General features: G+C 41.2%; 1 pseudogene across 1 annotated transcript in view; it reads right to left on the bottom strand.

Moving 5' to 3' along the window:
- DUXAP8 (double homeobox A pseudogene 8) overlaps positions 1-18,443 on the bottom strand; it is a 42,481-nt pseudogene extending 24,038 nt beyond the window's left edge. The window contains exons 1-6 of the transcript NR_122113.1: positions 18,340-18,443; positions 16,115-16,225; positions 14,698-14,812; positions 14,466-14,577; positions 12,599-12,736; positions 12,245-12,387 (exon numbers count right to left, since the gene is read on the bottom strand). The product of NR_122113.1 is annotated as a double homeobox A pseudogene 8 (transcript). The remainder of the gene's footprint in view (positions 1-12,244; positions 12,388-12,598; positions 12,737-14,465; positions 14,578-14,697; positions 14,813-16,114; positions 16,226-18,339) is intronic.
- Between the last annotated feature and the right edge of the window lie 3,030 nt (positions 18,444-21,473).

Raw genomic sequence — 21,473 nt, 5'->3', positions numbered from 1 at the left:
ATTACACTTTAAGTTCTAGGGTACATGTGCACAATGTGCAGGTTTGTTACATATGTATACATGTGCCATGTTGGTGTGCTGCACCCATTAACTCATCATTTACAGTAAGTATATCTCATAATGCTATCCCTCCCCCCTCCCCCCACCCCACAACAGACCCAATGTGTGATGTTCCCCTTCCTGTGTCCAAGTGTTCTCTTTGTTCAATTCCCACCTATGAGTTAGAACATGTGGTGTTTGGTTTTTTGTCCTTGTGATAGTTTGCTGAGAATGACAGTTTCCAGCTTCATCCATGTCCCTACAAAGGACATGAACTCATAAATTTTATGGCTGCATAGTATTCCATGGTGTATATGTGCCACATTTTCTTAATCCGGTCTATCATTGTTGGACATCTGGATTGGTTCCAACTCTTTGCTATTGTGAATAGTGCCGCAATAAACATATGTGTGTATGTGTCTTCATAGCAGCATGATTTATAATCCTTTGGGTATATACCCAGTAATGGGATGGCTGGGTCAAATGGTATTTCTAGTTCTAGATCCCTGAGGAATCGCAACACTGACTTCCACAATGGTTGAACTAGTTTACAGTACCACCAACAGTGTAAAAGTGCTACTATTTCTCCACATCCTCTCCAGCACCTGTTGTTTCCTGACTTTGTAATGATCGCCATTCTAACTGGTGTGAGATGGTATCTCATTGTGGTTTTGATTTGCATTTCTCTGATGGCCAGTGATGATGAACATTTTTTCATGTGTCTTTTGGCTGCATAAATGTCTTCTTTTGAGAAGTGTCTGTTCATATCCTTCGCCCACTTGTTGATGGGGTTGTTTGTTTTTTTCTGGTAAATTTGACTTCATTGTAGATTCTGGATATTAGCCCTTTGTCAGATGAGTAGATTGCAAAAATTTCCTCCCATTCTGTAGGTTGCCTGTTCACTCTGATGGTAGCTTCTTTTGCTGTGCAGAAGCTCTTTAGTTTAATTAGATCCCATTTGTCAATTTTGGCTTTTGTTGCCATTGTTTTTGGTGTTTTTAAACATGAAGTCCTTGCCCATGCCTATGTCCTGAATGGTATTGCCTAGGTTTTCTTCTAGGGTTTTTATGGTTTTGGGTCTAACATTTAAGTCTTTAATCCATCTTGAATTAATTTTTGTATAAGGTGTAAGGAAGGGATCCAGTTTCAGCTTTCTACATATGGCTAGCTGGGCAATGTCAACTTTGTAAATTAACTGAGAACTGTCTCAGATTTTGAGGGTTCACAAACTATACTCCAAGGATATAGTAACCAAAACATCATAGGTCTGGTACAAAAACCATGACACAAAAGCCAATGGAACAGATTAGAGAAGGTTGTAGGCTGCACTCCTACAACCATCTGATCTTTGACAAAGTCTATAATTAGAAGCAATGGGAACAGACTCCCTATTCAATGAATGGTACTAGGATAACTGTTTAGCCATATTCAGAAGATTTAAAATGGACAACTTCCTTCCAACATATTAAAAAAATCAACTTAAGATGGATTAAAGACCTAAATGTAAAACCTAAAAGTATAAAAACCCTAGACAAAAGCCCAGAACATAATATTCTGGACATAGGCAATAACAAGGATTTTATGATCAAGTTTCCAATAGCTATTGCAACAAAAACATAAATAGACAAGTGGGACCTAAGTATACTAAGGAGATTATGTTCAACAAAAGAAACTATCAGCAGAGTAAACAGACAACCGACAAAATGGGAGAAAATATTTGCAAACTATGGATCTGACAAAGGTCTCATATCCAGAACCTGTAAGGAACTTAAAAAAATTTTTAAGCAAAAACTAAACAACCTCATTGAAAAATGGGCAAAGGACAAGAACAGACACTTCTCAAAAAAGACATACATGCTGTTAACAAGAATATGAAAAAATGCTCCATTTTAAAAATCACTAATCATTAGAGAAATGCAAATGAAAACCACAATGAGATACCATTTCATACCAATCACAATGGCTACTAATAAAAAGTCAGAAAATAACAGATGTTGCTGAGGTTGCAGAGAAAAGGGAAATCTTATACACTTCCGTTGGGAATGTAAATTAATTCAGCCATTGTATAAAGCAGTGTGAAGATTTCTCAAAAAACTTAAACAGAACTACCATTTGGCGCAGCAGTCTCATTACTGGGCACATACACAAAGAAATATGAATTGTTCTACCAAATGACACATGTACTTGTATGATTATCACAGCACTATTAACAGTAGCAAAAACATGGAACCAACCTAGAGGCTCATCAGTGGTGGACTAGAAAAAAAAAATGTGTACCGCCTGACGTGGTTGCTCACGCCTGTATTCCCAGCACTTTGGGTGGCCGAGATGGGCGGATCATTTGATATTAGGAGTTTGAGAAAAGCCTGGCCAACATGGTGAAACACCATCTCTACTAAAAATACAAAAATTAGCCAGGCATGGTGGTACATGCCTGTAGACCCAGCTACTTGGGAAACTGAGGTGGCAGAATAGCTTGAACCTGGGAGGCGAAGGTTGCAGTGGGCCCAGATTATGCCACAGCACTCCAGCCTGGGTGTCAGAGTGAGACTCTATCTCAAAAAGAAAAAAAATTGGTACATATACACCATGAAATACTGTGTAGCAACAAAAAAACAATAAATTTATGGCTTTTGCAACAAAATGGATGTAGCTGGAGGCTACATCCCACAAATTAAGCAGATTAACACAAAAACAGAAAAAGACAGCATATATTATCACCTATAAATGAGAGATAAACATTGGCTCCACATGGTCCAAAACAAGGACCAATAGATACTAGGGCCTGTGTGAGGGTAGAGGGTGAAAAATCGGTGAAGATTGAAAAATTACTTATGCCTATCAGGTACTATGCTCACTACCTCAGTGACTAAATTATTTTTTCCATGAAACCCCAGCAACATGCAATTTACCTACATAACAAAGCTGCACGTGTACCCCCTGAACCTAAAATATAAATTAAAAAAGAAAAAAATGAATATCAATAAGATACTTAGTAAGCACACAAGTGTTTGGAAATCAAACAACAAACTTCTGAATAATTCACAAAGAAACATCAAAATAAAACTTAGAATACATTTTGAATTGAAAGATAAACATCTGAAGTGCTGAAAGAATAGAGATGGCTTTAGTCTCGAAACTTACATATAAAAACATTGAAATTTCAATCAGATGGCAATTGGTATGTGATTTGATAATCTACTTTAAAGTTTATACAAAACTGAGAACCCGGTTAGGTGCGGTGGCTCACGCCTGTAATCCCAGGACTTTGGGAATCAGAGGTGGGTGCAACACGAGGTCAGGAGTTCAAGACCAGCCTGGCCAAGATGGTGAAACCCTGTCTCTACTAAAAATAAAAAAATTAGCCAGGCGTGGTGATGGATGCCTGTAATCCTGGCTACTCAGGAGCCTGAGGCAGGAGAATCAATTGAACCAGGGAGGCAGAGGTTGCAGAGAGCCAAGATTATGCCACTGCACTCTAGCCTGGGTGAGAGAGCAAGGCTTCATCTCAAAAAGAAAAAAAAAAAAATTGAGAACCCAGATAAAAATAGCTAACTTTCTTCTCCAAAAGAAAAAAGAATGACAGTGAGTAGAGGTCTGCTTCTATTGGCTATCAGATAATCTTATAACCCTGCAGTACTGTGGTGGTACGAAGCACATCCACAGCAGTAGTGTGACCATCAGGTATCAAATAGACAAGAACTTCAGAGAAGACAAATGTAACATTTGAAATCAGTAGAAAGAAGTATTACTTTGAGAAAGTTGGTTATTATTTGGAATTTGAAGAAATAAACAATAAATTTCAAATAACTTAAAGAATGAAATAAAAAATAAAATTAATACTACAAGGAAGTTTTTAAAATATTCATGCCTTTTCCTCATGACATGAAATATAAATATCATGAAGTAAAAGACAGACAAATTTTACTAACTAAACAAACTCATTTTTAGCAAACACTTGATAAATACCATTGAGACAAATAACAAATTAGAAGAAAATATTTACATGGTATACATAACAAAAAAATGGATATTCAGAATGTATAGAGATTATCAAATAATAAAGAACTTGCAAATCCCAGTGGGAAAATGAGCAAAGAATATAAAGAGGAATTACACAGAAGAAAACGTATGCTATGTATTAACAAATGAAAAGTTGCTTCATCTGTGTAATGGCCAAAATGTATGTTAAAATATAAGACAGCATTTCTCCCATCTCATTGGTAAAATAAAAAATACATATGCACTTCATAAATTCATATGTCACTTCAGCATTTTTACAGTTAATATCACTTTTGTTATTCTTAAAAAGTTGAAAAATTAAATGAGTTAAAAGCAGTATGAGAGAAATTATTGCAAATATGTGTATAATATTGTTAGGAGAAACCCAAGTAAGACCCCAGAGGTGTAAGTTTAAATTGAAGACTAATCAGTTTATATATATAATAATTTAAAAATATTCTGTGCATTATAAAACTCACAAAAGAATTAAAAGGCAAAAAAATCAAGAAAAAATAATTTCAAAATAAATGCCACAACACAGCTTCCTGTGGTCAAGATTTCTCTCCATTCTACTTTGACGTCTAAATAGATCTTTGGGCATCTAGACTAATATTGGGTTTGTATACTCCCAGAAAATTCAAGACTACTAAACGCACCCAACCTTACAACCCCGAAGCATATTATCACATAGGGGTCTTGTGTAGTTTGCTAAAGTGTAATGTACTACCTGTCACAGAATGAGCACTTAACTGATGTTGGGTGTGATGTAGCATAGTAGCAAAAAACTTTAGAATTAGGCCACAGTGTTTTTAAGGGCTTTGCACGACCCATTATTTTTTGGCACTTAATTTAAAAAAATCTGCATGCTTATTTTAATTTTGTCATTACTTGCCATTGTATCCATCTCAGCACACTGATCAAATAATCACAAAAATCACAGAGATGATACTCTGCTAATTAAGAAAGTTTTCTTTTTTTCTTTGTGAAACCATTCTTCATTTTTTTTTTTTTTGGTATTTAGAAATAATTTCTAGTGCTAATTTATTTTTAGTGACATTTTGCACAGACTCTCCAAATAAAAAACCAAGAACGACCAATTTTATTGGGAAAATACTAAATGTAACAAACTTTATTTTTTGATGAGTGAAGACTATTTTTCTAATTTTGCTTAAAAATTTTAGGTTTAGCCTTAGGTAATAAAGTTAATAGAGAGAATGTTTACTACCATGCATAAATTCAAAAGACTTGTTAGTTTAGATTGTCAATTTAATGTTGAACAAAGTTGCTTGAAATTTTCAGATGAAATAACTTTAGGTAAGCTTAAGAAAAGTTTGATTGCATTTTGTTTATAATCTTGTACTTCTATTTTCATTCTGATTTAGTAGGCTGCACACTTTTTAAAAAAAAATTTCAGGTGGATTGTGGCCATTCCTTTTCCTCTTAAGTCTTATTTGATTGTTCTTCCAGAACAAATATTAACATTTGCAGTCCTGCATCTGGATCAAGCAGTTTGGTTAGAGAAATTTAAACCTTTAAATCACAAAACAGCTTATTTTCAATTGTCATAGCTGACACTGAATCTATGACTAATGGTGTAAGCAATGTGGATATTGGAATGTCTCTGAGTTTTTATATTAATAAATTTACTAGCTAAATAAGTGATGTAATCATCTGTTGATGTCTGAGATGAAGAGTGAGTAAAAACCACATAAAAGTCTTCCATAAAACTAAACTTATCTTGGAATTCTTTGTAAAAATAATTTCTGTGAGATGGAACTTTGGAAAGTTTTCCTGTAATTTCTTGAAATCAAATTTAACAGTGCATGGTAGTCTGACCATTCTGCATTCTCCTTTCTGTATAAAAAACATCACTATTTCAAGGCCAGAGAGCCCCCTTTACATGGCTTGTTAAGAATTCTTCAAAATCCAGCATGATTCAAGATACTGATGGATTTTGGGTATTTCAAGAGAATTCCTCTGGTGGCTAAAATGCTTTGAAGATCATTTGTGCAGCAGTCACTCAAGATGAAAGACTCCCTAGTTAATTGTCCAGTGAGATTACAGTTCCTGTGACAGTGGCAGAAGAAGTCCAGCAAGGAGTTAGCAGCAGCCTAGTTGGCTTTTGTTGCATTCTCAATGAAAGCAGAAACTAATGAATAGCACTCAAAGTAATCAAGTTCCTGCTTTCTTGTCAAAAATTGAAGATGTACTGCTCCAGCTACTTTGGGGCTTAACACTTTCTCCAATTAAGAAGAGATGTTGAGAGCTTCTAGGAACCCATCATCCAAGACTGCGGCACTAAAAAAACACACCTGAGATTTTGCTCTACGAAGTTATTTTCTATTAAATTCACTGCCTTTTTCACATCAGAGTGAATAATGACAAAACATTGTAGCTTGGTCGTTTTGCACTCTTCATTCTGATTTTGCAGCAACTTGCATTCCTTTCAACTGCTCATAAGTTAAATTTCTCAATGAAGTAATCACAACAGAACTATCTCCTTGAACAGTTTGGAGTTTCCTGAAAAAAAACAGATATACTACCATATGATCCAAAAATCCCACTGCTTGGTATATACCCAAAAGAAAGGAAATGAGTATATCAAAGAGATTTCTGCACTCCTAGGTTTGCTGCAGCACTGTTTACAATTACTAATATTTGAAAGCAACCTAAGTGTCCATCAACAGATGAATGAAGAAAATGTGGTACATATACACAGTGGAGTACTATTCAGCCATAAAAATGAAAGCCTGTCATTTGCAACAACATGGATGGAACTGAAGATGATTATGTCAAGAAAAATAAGCCAGGCACAGAAATACAAACATCATGTGTTCTCGCTTATTTCCGGGATCTAAAAATAAAAACAATTAAACTCATGGACATAGAGAGTAGAAGGATGATTACCAGAGCTTGGGAAGGGTAGTGAGAGAGTGAGGGGGAGGCAGGAATTGTTAATGGATACAAAAAACAAAAAAGAAATAATATATAATAAAAACCTACTATTTGATAGCAAACCCAGGTGACTATAGTCAATAATAACTTAATCATATATTTGAAAATAACATAAAGAGTGTAATTGGAATATTTGTAACTCAAAGAATCACTGAGGGGATACCCCATTCTCTAGGATGTGTTTTTTTTCACATTGAATGCCCTTGTCAAAACATCTCATGTACTCCATAAATACTATGTACCCACAAACATTAAAAATAAAATACAAAAAAGAACCATCTTCTCTCTGTGTAACAAATACTATAGTTTCAAATCCAAGGCTAGAGAGCTGCCCTGAAATAATATACACTCTTTTGACTTGAAGAGTTTTCTCTTTGCTCTATACATAGGTATTTGTAGAAGTTAACATTCTGGAACACTGACTTCCAACACAGCAAGAGGGACAGCCACACATGTAAAATACAATGACAGAGCAGGACTCACAAGTGCATTCTGCTGAAAAGGTGAGCAAGCCAAATTCAAATTATTTTTCAAACTCATTGATTTTAGCTACCGAAAGGTCTATAGGACATTATCAGACAGAGTTTTTGTAGAACCTAAGATTTAGAAAGTGAACTTGAATGTGACTGTGATCATTATGCAACAACTGCTGTAAAAACTCAGGTTGGTGTTGGCCACAAAGGACTACAACACTCTTGTGTTGCCTTGACAAAGCTCCTCTAAACGTGGCAGTAAACTTAGTGCCTTTCAGTATTCTCCTTTTTCCCATAGACTCACAGACAGCGAGAGACACCTGGCTCCCCCACATCACTTCCTTAGCAGCCAAGAACAGCATGTCACCCAGAATGAATTCTGGCTGTGGCAGAAAATGGCCCACATAGAGAGATGTCTGGCATTTGGTAGTACCTGGGTGAGAGCTTTCCAAGCTCTTAGGAAGTATACAATGCATAAGGTCCATTTCTAAATACTAGAAACATCTTGCTGTGAAAGCACATAAAGTCCATAGTTAAGATGATGATGCCATGCAGAAAAACACGTGGCAATGTAACCACCAGTCTTTACTTTTTCAATGGCCTTGCACATGGCTGTTACTGTACTGCTGAAGTCCAGCGTCAGCAGTTTATGTTTCCCCATTGTGTCATCAGCCCAATGCAAAGTACCATCAAAATAACACCTGGAGGTGCTGACAGGAAAATAATCTGAGTAAATCCACATTTGCTGTCTCAACTTCCAAAGACTGGTCATCAAACAGTGTGTTTCTGTCTTTCTATCTTGGCTGCCACCTTTACTACACTGTAGGGGTCTGAGGTTTGTAGAGTGGATATCGCAGAGTTCTGGTTGTCCTTGTGAGGTTTGATATGATAAACTTTTTAAAAGAAAGTAGGCCTGATTACAGAAATGAGTATTGTCCCGACAATCCACATAGAATTCTGGGGCATTCTTCTCTTTACATTCAATAATAGCTTCCGCTAAACTTGTAATGTTCTGTGGGAATGTATCACTTCTTCACCTTCTTGCTCACTTCCCACCTTCTTGCTCAGAGCTCCAATGGGCTCAGAGCAATGTTTGGAGTGCCAATCACCCTGAGCTCAACCTTGCTCTGAGCATCATCTTCTCTGAGCTCCATCTTACACTGAGAAGCACCTGCTGCAAGCTCCATCTTGCTTGGAGCTCCTTCTTGCTCCAAGCTCTATCTACTCCAAGCTCCATCTTGCTCAGAGCTCCATCTGCTCCAAGCTCCATCTTGCTCGAAGTGCCAATCGCTCCAAGCACTATCTTGCTGTGAGCAACATCTGCATAGACATTCATCTTACTCAGAGCTCCATCTAGTCAGAGATCCATCCACTTTGAGCTCCATCTTGCTAGGAGTTCCAATCACTCCAAGCCCCATCTTGCTGGGAGCTCCAATCACTTCTAGCTCCATTTTGCTCTGAGCACCATGTGGACAGAGCTCATCTTACTCTGAGCTACATGTGCTCTGAGCTCTACCTTGCTTGGAGCTGTAATCACTGTGGGCTCCGTTTTGTTCTGAGCTCCAACTAAAACCAAGCAACGTCTCCTCCAAACTCCATCTTGCTTAGAGCTCCTTTTTTGCTCAGAGCTCTGTCTGCTCTGAGCTGCATCTTGCTCAGAGCTCCAATTGCTCAGAGCAATGTTCAGAGTGCCAATCATTCTGAGCTCCCTCTTGCTCTGAGTACCATCTGCTCTGAGCTCCATCTTACACCAGCAACATCTGCTCCAAGTTCCATTTTGTTTGGAGCTCCTTCTTGCTCAGAGGTCTCTCTGATCTGAGCTCCATCTGGTTCGGAGATCCAATCACTCCAAGCTCCATCTTGCTCTGAGCACCATCTTCTTGAAGCTCCATCTACTCCCAGCTCCATCTTGCTTTAGAGCTTCCATCACTCTGAGCTCCACTTTGCTCAGAGCTCCATTTACTCAGAGCTCCATTTGCTCCAAGCTCCATCTTTCTCAGAGCTCCAATCCCTCCAAACTCCATCTTGCTCTGAGTACCCTCTGCTCAGAGCTCCATATTCTCGGAGCTGCATCTTCTAGCTCCATCTTGCTGATATCTCCAATCACTTCCAGCTCCATTTTGTTCTGAGCATCATGTGCTCGAAGCTCCATCTTACTGTAAGCAGCATGTTCTCTGAGCTCCATCTTGCTCTGAGCACCATCTGTTCTGAACTCCATCTGAAACTGAGGAACATTTGCCCCAAGCTCCATCTTGCTTAGAGCTCCTTCTTGCTCTGAACTTCGTTTGCTCCAAGCTCCATCTGCTCCGAGCTCCAGCTTGCTGAGAGCTCCAATTACTTCCAGCATCATTTTGCTCTGAACACCATCTGCTCAAGCTACATCTTACTGTGAGCAACATGTTTTCTGAGCTACATCTTGCTCAGAGCTGCATCTGCTCCAAGCCCCATTGTGCTCGAAGCTCTAATCACTCCGAGGCTGATCTTGCTCTGATCACTATCTGCTCAGAGTTCCAATCCTCCAGAGTAAAGTTTTTAAGTTCCAATCATTTCAAGCTCCATGTTGTTACGAGCATCTGCTCTGAGCTCCATCTTACACCGAGCAACATCTGCTCCAAGTTCCATCTTGCTTGGAGCTCCTTTTTGTTCAGAGCTCTATCTGCTCCAAGCTCAATCTTCTCTGAGCTCCATCTTGCTTGGAGCTCTAATCATTCTGAGCTCCATCATGCTCTGAGCACCATCTGCTCTGAGCAACATCTGCACCAAGCTCCATCTTGCTTAGATCTCCTTATTGCTCAGAGTTTCATCTGCTCTGAGCACCATCTTGTTCAGAGCTCCATCTTGCTCAGAGTTCCAACTGCTCAGAGAACTGTTGAGAGTTCCAACGACTCCAAGCTTTATCTTGCTCTGGGCTCCATCTTACACAGAGGAACATCGGCTCCAAGCTCCATCTTGCTTGGAGCTCCTTCTTGTCTGAGCTATATTTGCTCTGAGCTGGACACTCCATGCTCCATGGTGCTCTGAGTTCCATCTGCTAAGAGCTCCATCTGCTCCAAGCTCCATCTTGCTTGGAGCTCCAATCACTCCAAGCTCCATCTTGCTCTGAGCACCATCTGTTCTGAGCTCCACCTTGCTCAGAGCCCCAGTCACTCCTAGCTCCATCTGGCTCTGAGTACCATCTGCTCGGAGCTCCATCTTGCTCTGAGACCACAGGCTTGGTGCTCCATCATACTCAGAAACATCTGCTCCGAGCTTCATATTAATCGGAGCTCCATCTCACCTGGAGCTCCATCTGCTCTGAGCTCCATCAAGCTTGGAGCTCATCTTGCTCAGAGGTCCATCTTGCTTTGCGAACCATCTGCTCCATGTATGGTTATAGCAGCACTATTCACAATGGTAAAGACTTGGAACCAACCCATATGCCCATCAATGATAGACTGGAAAAATAAAATGTACTACATATACATCATGGAATACTACACAGCCATAAAAAGGTATGAGATCAAGTCCTCTGCAGGGACAGGGATGAAGCTGGAAGCCATCATCCTCAGCAAGCTAACACAGGAACAGAAAACCAAACACTGCATGTTCTCGCTCGTAAGTGGGAGCTGAACAATGAGAACACATTTTAATACTATTACGCCCTCTGAAAATGGTCTCTATTTCTCTTAACAAAGGATATTTATACTTTGTAATTTTTTTCTCTCTAAAGGATTGTGGCTTCTTCTGTCTGTGCCAGTCTAGGGCCCAGGTTGACTACCTCACTTTGAAATGACCCACCCCATGTCCGTCCGCACATGGTTGGTCCCTCCTGTAAACTGTTTGTTCACAGACTGTTACCACCTGTGGGTCATTTGACGGGAGGTGACCTCACACAGCAATGCACCAGGCAAATCACCAACTGAAAGAATCACTGAAACAACATGTGTCTGCTTATTTCAAAGAATGAATAGGAGTCAGTTGAAGGTGATTAAGTCAGCAACATCTTAAGGTGATAAGATGTCAGTAACATCTTAGATGACCAAGAATAATCTTGTGGGCCCCAAGAACATATGACAATATGGACTACGCCAGCAAAAATCTCACCCATCAGACAACAGCAAATGACACTGTGGCTCAAATGTTAAATGTCCTCTCTTGATGTGTGAAAGCACATGACCAGCAGGAGGCAAAAACATCAGGGAGACAAAGGCTTTGTTGCATATCTGTGGACTTCAGTCTCCAGTGAGACACTCAGAGCCTACATCTCCTCTGTTACCACTGCTGTTTTGATTGCACAGAACATTTCCATATATGTTTCATTCTACAAGAAACGTTTCGACAAACATACATCTGATAAAAGGCTGTCTTCAAAATGTCTAAGCAACTAACACTACTCACTAGCAAAAACACAAAAGAGAAACTAATAACCAAACAAAACCTGAATAGACATTTCTACAAAAAAGACATAACATTGAAAACAAGTTTTAAAAACTTGAATAACATCACAAACCATGAGAAAGATATAAATCAAAACAACACACATATCTCACTATAATTCAAATGGATGTTATCAAAGTGATACAATATATTAAAAGAGACACAAATGCTGGTGGAAATTTCCAGAGAAAAACTCATTTGGTAAGAATGTTAATTAGTATACAGCTGGGCACGGTGGCTCACGCCTGTAATCCCAGCACTTTGGGAGGCCGAGGCCGGCAGATCACGAGTTCAGGAGATCGAGACCACCCCGGCTAACACGGTGAAACCCCGTCTCTACTAAAAGTATAAAAAATTACCTGGGCGTGGTGGCGGGTGCCTGTAATCCCAGCTACTCAGGAGGCTGAGGCAGGAGAATGGCGTGAACCCAGGAAGCAGAGCTTGCAGTGAGCTGAGATCATGCCACTGCACTCCAGCCTGGGCAATACAGCGAGACTCCATCCAAAAAAAAAAAGAATGTTAATTAGTATACATACTACAGAAACCAGTGGGAGGTTCCTCCAAAAATTAAACCTACAACTACCACTTCATCTAACAATTCTACTACTAAGTATACTTTCAGTGCCAAAGAAATCAGTTTATGCAAGAGGTATCAGCCATCCTATGTGGACTGCAGCACTATTCACAATCGCCAAGATAAGGAATAAACTTACCTGCCCATCCACAGATGAAGGGATAAAGTAACTGTGGTGGACATACACAAAGAGAATAGTCTTCAGCCAGAAAATCAGAATGAAATTTCATCATTTGGAGCCATACTGTTGAACCTGGAGGACAGCATGGTAAATGACCTGAACCAGGTAGAGAAAGAAAAACATTGCCACATCTCACTCATGTAGAACCCAAAATAAAAGGCTTTATTGCAATAGATCTAGAGAGCACAACAGTGGTTTCCAGAGATTGGAAGGAAGCAGAGGCATGGGCAGGGATCAGAAATAGGTACAAAATTACACTTAGATGAGAGCAATGAATTGTTCCTCTCTGTTCTACAGCACTGTGACCAGAGGTTAACAAAACATCACAGCTTTTTCACAAAATCTGGAAAAGAAGATTCCAAATGTTTTCACCACAAATAAATTAACAACTGTTTGTGATAACAGAGACTCTAAATATCCTGATTTTAACATTCCTCTGTGTCTGCATTAACCAAAATGCCCCACTCTAACTCCCCCCATTGTATACCTTTACTATATGGCCAACCTTTTAAAAAATATGTAAATATGCAATGCTAAAATTCATGCAGACCACAAAACACCCTGAATTTCTAAAGCAATCCTGAGAAGTCCACACTACATTGGTTGTGTCACACTTCCCGATTTTAATTTTCATTGAAAAGCTAGGGACCCCATTTCACACAGAGCAGTGGAACAGATTAGAGGACCCAGATGTAAACCCACACCCCTAACACCATCTGATCTTCAAAAAAATCCACAAAAATAAGCTTTGGAGAAAGGACTCCCTCCTCTCAATAGATGGTGCCAGGATAAAGTGCTAGCCAGTTGCAGAAGAAAAACAGTGGGCCCCTGTGTCTCACCCTGCACAGAAATTAACTCAAGATGAATGAAAGATGTAAACACAAGACCTCAAACTATGAAAAGCCTGCAAGAGAACTTGGAAATACCCTTCTTGACAGAGGATTTGGCAGAGCATGGCTATGCCTAAGTCCCCAAAAGCAAGTGCAACTAAAACAATTATTGACAAGTGGGGCCTAATATACAAAAGAGCTGCTGCACAGCAGAAGCAATTACCAACACAGTAAACAGACAGCCTACACAATGGGAGAAAATGTTCCCACATACGCATCTGATGAAGTCTAATATCCAGGATCTACCTCAAATACATTAAGCAAATAAATCAGAAAAACAAAAACTCAATGAAGAAAGGGTAAGGGGCATGAAAACATGCATCTCAAAAGAAGGTTTACAGCAACCAACAGACAAGATATCATTGCTTTACCTCAGGAATCATCAGAGAAATGCAAAGCTAAAGGCCCATGAGATAGTATTTCACACATTCTGATGAATGACAATTATGACACAGTCCACAAGAATGAACACCAGCAAGGCAGAGGAGGAGGGATGCTGGTCTGCTCTTGGTGGAAATGCAAACTAGTTCGGACACCATGGAAAGCAATGTGGGGATTTCTCAAATAACTTTCTCGACATCACTAAACCTCACAAAAAAATGTCCATGAAAACCACACTAAGATTCCGTCTCATTCCACTCAGAATGAGTACTACCAAAAACAAAACACAAATTTTTGAAGGTGACATCCAGTGTAGACTTACAGAAAGGTAACCTCTTAAACACTATTGGTGAGGATGTAAATTAGTATACACACTATAAAAAACAGCTAGAGGTTTCTGAAAAAATTCACAGTACAACTACCATGTCAGCTAACAGCCCCACCACTGGTTCCACATTTAAAGCAGTTGAAGTCCCTAGGTTGAAGAGAGCTATCTGCCTTCCCACGGGTACTAAAGCACTCTTAACTGTGGCCAAGGTAGAGAACCAACCTACCTGTTCAAACACAGCTGCAGGGATGAGGAAACTGCTGTACAGATACACCACGGAATATGTTTCAGCCAGAAACCTTTGGGAAATCCTGCCATCTGCAGCCACATGAAGAAACCTGAAGAACATGAGGTTCAAAGAATAAGGCTGGTAGAGAAAGTCCCATGCCACGTGATCTCAGGCATGCAGACTGAAGAAAGCTTTATCTTCTAGAAGTGGAAAGTTCAATAAGGCTTACCAGAGGCTGCTGGGGAAGTGGAGGCAGTCTCAGAAGGAATCAGTGATGGGTACAAAGTTACTCTCAGATGAGACTGATCAATTCTGGCCTTCTATTCCACAGCAGGGTGACTAGCCTTAACACAAATGTACCATATGTTTCAAAGTAGCTAGAAGGAAAGATTCTGAATGTTGTTACCACTCAAAAATAATAACTATATGAGATAAAGAGATGCTAAATAACCTGATTTTATCATTACTCAACATATACACGTATCAAAATCTTCCTTGTACCTTTTAATTGTATACATTTAGTATATGACAAATAGTGTTTTAAGAAATATAAAGAAACAATGCCAAAATTTATGTGGAAATGTGAAACACCCTGAATTTCCAAAGTTATTCTGAGAAATACAAACCATATGGGATGTGTCACATTCCCTGAGTTCTAATTAAATGAAAATCTGTAGTTAACAAACCCATATGTTACTGGCGTACACAGAGAAACACAGACCAGTGAGCAAAATGAATGTGCTCAATAATAAACAAAAATTTATATGGAATGAACACATTTTTCAAAACACCACCAAAATGACACAACGGGGAAGATTTCCAAAACTAGATATCCATATGCAAAAGAATAATACAGGACTCTTATGGTACTAGATACACAATAATCAACTCAAAATGATTAAAGATTATACACAAAACTTGCAACCATAAAGCTCCTATAAAGACAACCTCAGGTGTGCGTATATTTAGGGCAACTTGGATGTATGCTCAGGGTTCGCAAAAAGTAAACAAAAATACAAGGGAAAAAATTATTGACAATGAACTGCTTTGGTAGTGATTTGTGATTTTGTTTTTTCTTGATTAGTAACCAACAGCACAGCCACCAAGAAATTATGCACATGTGGGACCACGTCAAGCTGAAGCGTTTGTGCCCAACAAAGGAAACAATAAAGAAAATAAAAAGGCACACTAAAAATTACAAGTTTGGGATAAGGGATTATTTTTGAAAAGGTACAAGCGAGTCATACTACCAGCTGGCAAAAAAAAAAAAAAACAAAACAAAACAAAACAACAGAACAATTGCCAGACAAAAACTGGGCAAATAACCGGATTAGATATTTTTCTAAAGAAGACAGGAAACTGACCCAATGTCTACAAAAACGTGGTTAACATTACTACTCATGAGAAAAATGCAGATCAAAACCACACTCAGATCTTATCTCACTCCAATAGAATGAACATTACAAAAAGATCAAAATATTTAAAAAGACAATTCCTGGTATGAATTTCCAGAAAGGGGAACTGTTTGTGGAAACATAAATTAGTATTAACACTATAAAAAACAGTTGGAGGTCTTGCAAAGAATAGGAAAAAAAGAAATACCATATCATCTAGCAGTCCCATTACTGGGTATAAATTCAACCTACCTGTTCATCCACAGATAAAGAGATCAAGAAACTCTCATATACATACACTAGGAAATATTCTCCAGCCATCAAAATAATGAAGCAGTGTCATTTAGAGCAACACAGATGAACCTGGAACACATTATGTTAAATGTAATGAGCTAGGCCTAGAAGACAAACACTGCATGATACCACTCGTGAAATCTTAAGATGTTTATCTTAATGAAGTAGAAAGCACAATATTGGTTACCAGAGTTTGGGAGATAGAGGGGGAATGGGGAAGGATTGATTATGGAAACAAAGTTATCTTAACATTAAAGGAATAAATCTGAAGTTCTCCTCCTCAGCCTGGTGACTGGAGTAAACAATATCATATTTTTCTAGAGCAAGAAGGGAGAATTTTGAATGTTCTCCCCACAAAAAAAAAAAAAAAAAAATGCCTGGACGAGCAAATAGAGATCCTAAGTACCCTGATTTGATCATTACCCAACCTATATGTATGAAAATGTACCCCTAATTATGGACCTTTATGTTGTGAAAAAAAGTTAATAGAAATAAATAGGTATTGCTAAAAATCACAGGGAACCACAAAAGCAATGAATATCTAAAGGAATCCTCAGAAATACAAAGTGAAGACCCACAATCCTCAATATCAAATTACACTGCCAAGTTGTAGTTATACAGCTGATATATGATACTTGCATAAACTATGGACAAAAACAGGGAGAACAAAAACATGATCAACACAAATATGGACACAGTCAACTGACTTTGATAAAGAACACTGCAATGTGGAAGGCAGAGAATGAGTACCTTTGAGAAAAATGATATTCAGATGCAGAAGTGAGAAATAGGACCTTATTTTACACGATGTATGAAAATGAACACCCCCTCCCCCAAATTGAAGGCAAAACAAAAGACCATAAACCACAAAATGTTTTTAACTAAAACACAGGATGAGCATATATTTTGGGTCACTTGAATCTCTGCTCACCTCTGCAAAGAGGAAAATAAACAAACACCCTAGAAGAAAAACCTCATTAACAATTAAATGCTTTGTCACTGATATATATTTTCTTATATGGGTGACAAAAATTACATGCATGAAACGCAAAAATAAATATATGGGACTATGTCAACATGAAAAGTTTCTGCACATCAAAGAAAACTACTTTCCAAATTAAAAAGCATCCTATAGATTAGGCAAAAATTTCAGGCAATCATGTAATTCACGAGGAGTTGTCATCTAACATGTACACAAAAAACACTACAAAGTAGCAAAAGCATCCAATCTAATATTTTGCAAAGAACCTGAACGGACAATTCTGCACAGCCATAAAATCGAACAACAAATAAGAGATAAGGTCCTCAAAATAAACTATTCATTAGAAAACTGTAATTCAAAACCACACACAGATAATCTCACACTTATTGAATATTCCTAGATTTTTTATAAAAAAAATAAGAGGGGCTGGGAATGGTGTCTCATGCCTGTAATCTCTGCACTTTGCGAGGCCGAGGCAGGTGGATCACCTGAGGTCAGGAGTTTGAGACCAGCCTGACCAATATCGTGAAACCCCATCTCTACTAAAAATACAAAAATTAGCTGGGCATGGTGGCGGCCCCTGTAGTCCCAGCTACTCCGGAGGCCGAGACAGGAGACTTGTTTAAAACCAGGCAGAGGCTGCAGTCTGCCGAGATGGCGCCACTGCACTCCAGCCTGGAAGACAGAGCAAGACTCCGTCTCAAAACAAAAACAAAACAAACCCCAAACCAAAAATAATAGGAATGCGGGTGTGGTTTTGGAGAAAGGGAAACTCATACACTGTAGGTGGAAATGAAAATTAGGATACACACCATGGAAAACAGCTAAATAGCTGGAGACTCCTCAAAGAACTGAAACTACAGATGTCCCCTGCTCTAGCGAGGTCTCTTTTTAAAGGTGCTGAGGCATCAAAAATAATCCTAGACTCCAGCTCAGAGGCCCCTGAGGCTCGGAGGGACCCAGGTCCGGCGTTTCACCGCCAGCTCTGGGCCAGGGCGCTCCTATACGCTGGACGCGGGTCGGACATTGGCATAGCCTTCCCGGCCGGGGTGCGGACGCTGCAGTAGCCAGGACCCCACAACCGCCCCCACGCGGAGGACTCGGGCCCAGATGCCCACGAAGAAGTGAAAGCACGAAAACAGGGAGAGGCAGGGAAGGAGCCGGGAGGGTTCCCGGTGGGGTCCACGCCCCCGCCACTTACCGCGGAGACCTGCCTCCTACTCCACCATCACATGGAACCCACCACTGCTTCTCCGAAGCTCGCTCTGACCACGCCGCTGCTGCTGCAGGGGCCTCGCAGGAAGTGCAGTCTCAGCTTCCGTAGGGACACGCACGCTGGCAGCATCCCTCGTGCCAGGTTGAAGCTCCACCCCCTCTTAAAGGGACGCGGCTCGGACTTGCCAGAAGCAGCTTTGGGTGGCAACACAGGCTGAGCCTCTGCCCAGCCCCAGGGGGCGACGAAAGACCCCTGGTCTCTCATCCTCCCCAGCTTTCGGGCCCTAGAAGTCGCAGGGACGCTCCCTGTGACCCCCTCCCCGAGATCGGCTCCCTTTGCCTAGGGAGCACCCGGGACCTGCCCCTGCCCTCCTCTGGACCTCAGTTTCACCATCCGCAAAGGAAGCAGCCTCGCTAGAGCTCTGGGGTTCCTCAAGCTTGGCGTCTCAGGATCCAGGGTGTGCTCCCCTGCCCCTCTGCAGAGGGGGTCCAGAGAACCACAGAAAGCTGGGGGCTGGAGGGACAGTCCGGAGGGCAGCAGGGCCTCCCCGGCCTCACTGTCCGCATCTGTCCTGTGGGAGCCCGGGGGCCTCGCTATGGCCCAGACACCCACAGCCTCACCAGGGCTGCCTGGGTCACCGGGCTCCCCAGGAGGCAGGCAGGGGCCCTGGGGTCCAGCGCTGCCCCCACCTCAACTCCATCCTGCGTCAGGGCCCGCGAGGGGCCCTGTGGACTGGACCCAGGCCGCCCATTCCCAGGGAGAGGCTATTAATTATTGCCTCAATTTCAGAGCCTGTTATCGGTCTCTTCAGAGATTCAGCTTCTTCCTGGTTTAGTCTTGGGAGGGTGTATGTGTCAAGGAATTTATCCATTTCTTCCAGATTTTCTAGTTTATTTGCGTAGAGGTGCTTATAGTATTCTCTGATGATAGCTGGTATTTCTGTGGGATCGGTGGTGATATCCCCTTTATCTATTTTTATTGCATCTATTTGATTCTTCTCTCTTTTCTTCTTTATTAGTCTTGCTAGCGGTCTATCAATATTGTTGACCTTTTCAAAAAACCAGCTCCTGGATTCATTGATTTTTTTGAAGGGTTTTTTGTGTCTCTATTTCCTTCAGTTCTGCTCTGATCTTACTTATTTCTTGCCTTCTGCTAGCTTTTCAATGTGTTTGCTCTTGCTTCTCTAGTTCTTTTAATTGTGATGTTATGGTGTCAATTTTAGATCTTTCCTGCTTTCTCTTGTGGGCATCTAGTGCTATAAATTTCCCTCTACACACTGCTTTAAATGTGTCCCAGAGATTCTGGTATGTTGTGTCTTTGTTCTCATTGGTTTCAAAGAACATCTTTATTTCTGTCTTCGTTTCGTTATGTACCCAGTAGTCATTGAGGAGCAGGTTGTTCGGTTTCCATGTAGTTGAGCGGTTTTGAGTGAGTTTCTTAATCCTGAGTTCTAATTTGATTGCACTGTGGTCTGAGAGACAGTTTGTTATAATTTCTGTTCTTTTCCATTTGCTGAGGAGTGCTTTACTTCCAACTATGTGGTCAGTTTTGGAATAGGTGTGGTGTGGTGCTGAAAAAAATGTATATTCTGTTGATTTTGGTGGAGAGTTCTGTAGATGTCTATTAGGTCTGCTTGGTGCAGAGCTGAGTTCAATTCCTGGATATCCTTGTTAACTTTCTGACTCATTGATCTGCCTAATGTTCACAGTGGGATGTTAAAGACTCCCATTATTATTGTGTGGGAGTCATATTTTGGTTGAAGTTGAGTTTCTAGTCAAAGAAAAAAACACATGAAGGGCATTCATGTTTCCAGGAACAGAAGCATCCTGTCTGGTTTTTCAAAGGTGAAGGGAGCAGTCTGAAGGGGCCATGGCATACGTGTGTCTATAATCAAAGCTCAGAGCCAAGGCCCTGGGGGAGGGTCAGGGGTTCCCCAGGGGGTGCACCCCATCCAACACTGCACTGCCAGGGGCCTTGTCTTTATTAAATTCTGGGCCTTTTCCTGGGCAATAGTTACACAAGGTGGGTTCAATGAACCCTGTGTCCTGTGGCTGCCACCCATTTCAGGGTCGCAAAGGTAATGATCACCCCTTCACCTTCTGCTGAGGGTCCAGGTGACCCCCTGGTGGTGTAACCCAGGCCCTCGCCCCTAAGGGGTCCTGAGTCTTGCTCACCACTGAGTCCTTGGTCTAGGGCTCCCGCACTTGTCCAGGTACCATCAAATGCTGTGTACTGAGAGGCGCTTGCGTAGAGCCCCTTCTTCCCCAGGCAGCACAGCCCTGCTCCTGCTGACACCATGGTCCAGGTGGTACACATCTTTCTGCCCGCAGGTCCCATGGAGGAGCAGCCTGAGAACAAAGCAGCACCCAGAGCTTGTTTTTTTTAGAGAACCTGGCTCTGTCCTGTCTAGAAGCCCCACAGCTGTGGAAACCAGGACCTCCTGCTTTTCAGAGCCTAGATGTGCAGGACATAGATGCACCTCAGAGGTCCTGGGTGTGAGGTGGAAGGTTGGGGGACACTGGGCTTCCTACTGCTGTGCTCCCATTGCCACATCTTCTACCTGGTGGGACCAGGCAGCTAGCAAAGGTGACAGATTCACCCAGACACTGTGTCCTCCCACATCCTGACCTGGCACCTGAGCCACACTGCTGGCTCTGAAGTTCCCAGGAGCGTGTGTGTGCTGTGACCAGCGGACCTATGGCATGTGCCGTCTTCCTCCCTCTGTGGCATGGTATCAGTTCCTCTGATGGTGTCATGTGAGGTCTCGTCCTGATGGGCAGAACTTTCTATAAACCGTCCCGTGGCCCCGGGGAAAGGCAAGCTCATCCCTGCAGGTTTAGTTGTTTCTGTTAAATGCAACCCTGTTCTTCCCAGGATGTCAGGGCCTGGTGCAGTTGTCCCAGCCTGGCAGGCAGTCGTCCCCTTGATGGTTTTGTGGAGCGCGCAGCCTGGGCCTAGCTCATGACCCTGGCAAAGGGCAGGTGAGCCCTGGGGCTGACCACCTGCACTTTCTGTTTGGTGGTGGGAGATGTGGGGCAATATTTCTTGCCTTTCCTTTAGAGATCATCTCCCAGCCTGCACAGACCACTAGACCCCTAAAAATGGGATTTGTAGGCAGG

This window comes from Homo sapiens, chromosome 22 (assembly GCF_000001405.40).
Source record: "Homo sapiens chromosome 22, GRCh38.p14 Primary Assembly".
Lineage (NCBI taxonomy): Eukaryota > Metazoa > Chordata > Mammalia > Primates > Hominidae > Homo > Homo sapiens.
The sequence above is the reverse complement of the archived record's forward strand: the minus strand, read 5'-3'. Positions and strand labels throughout refer to the sequence as shown.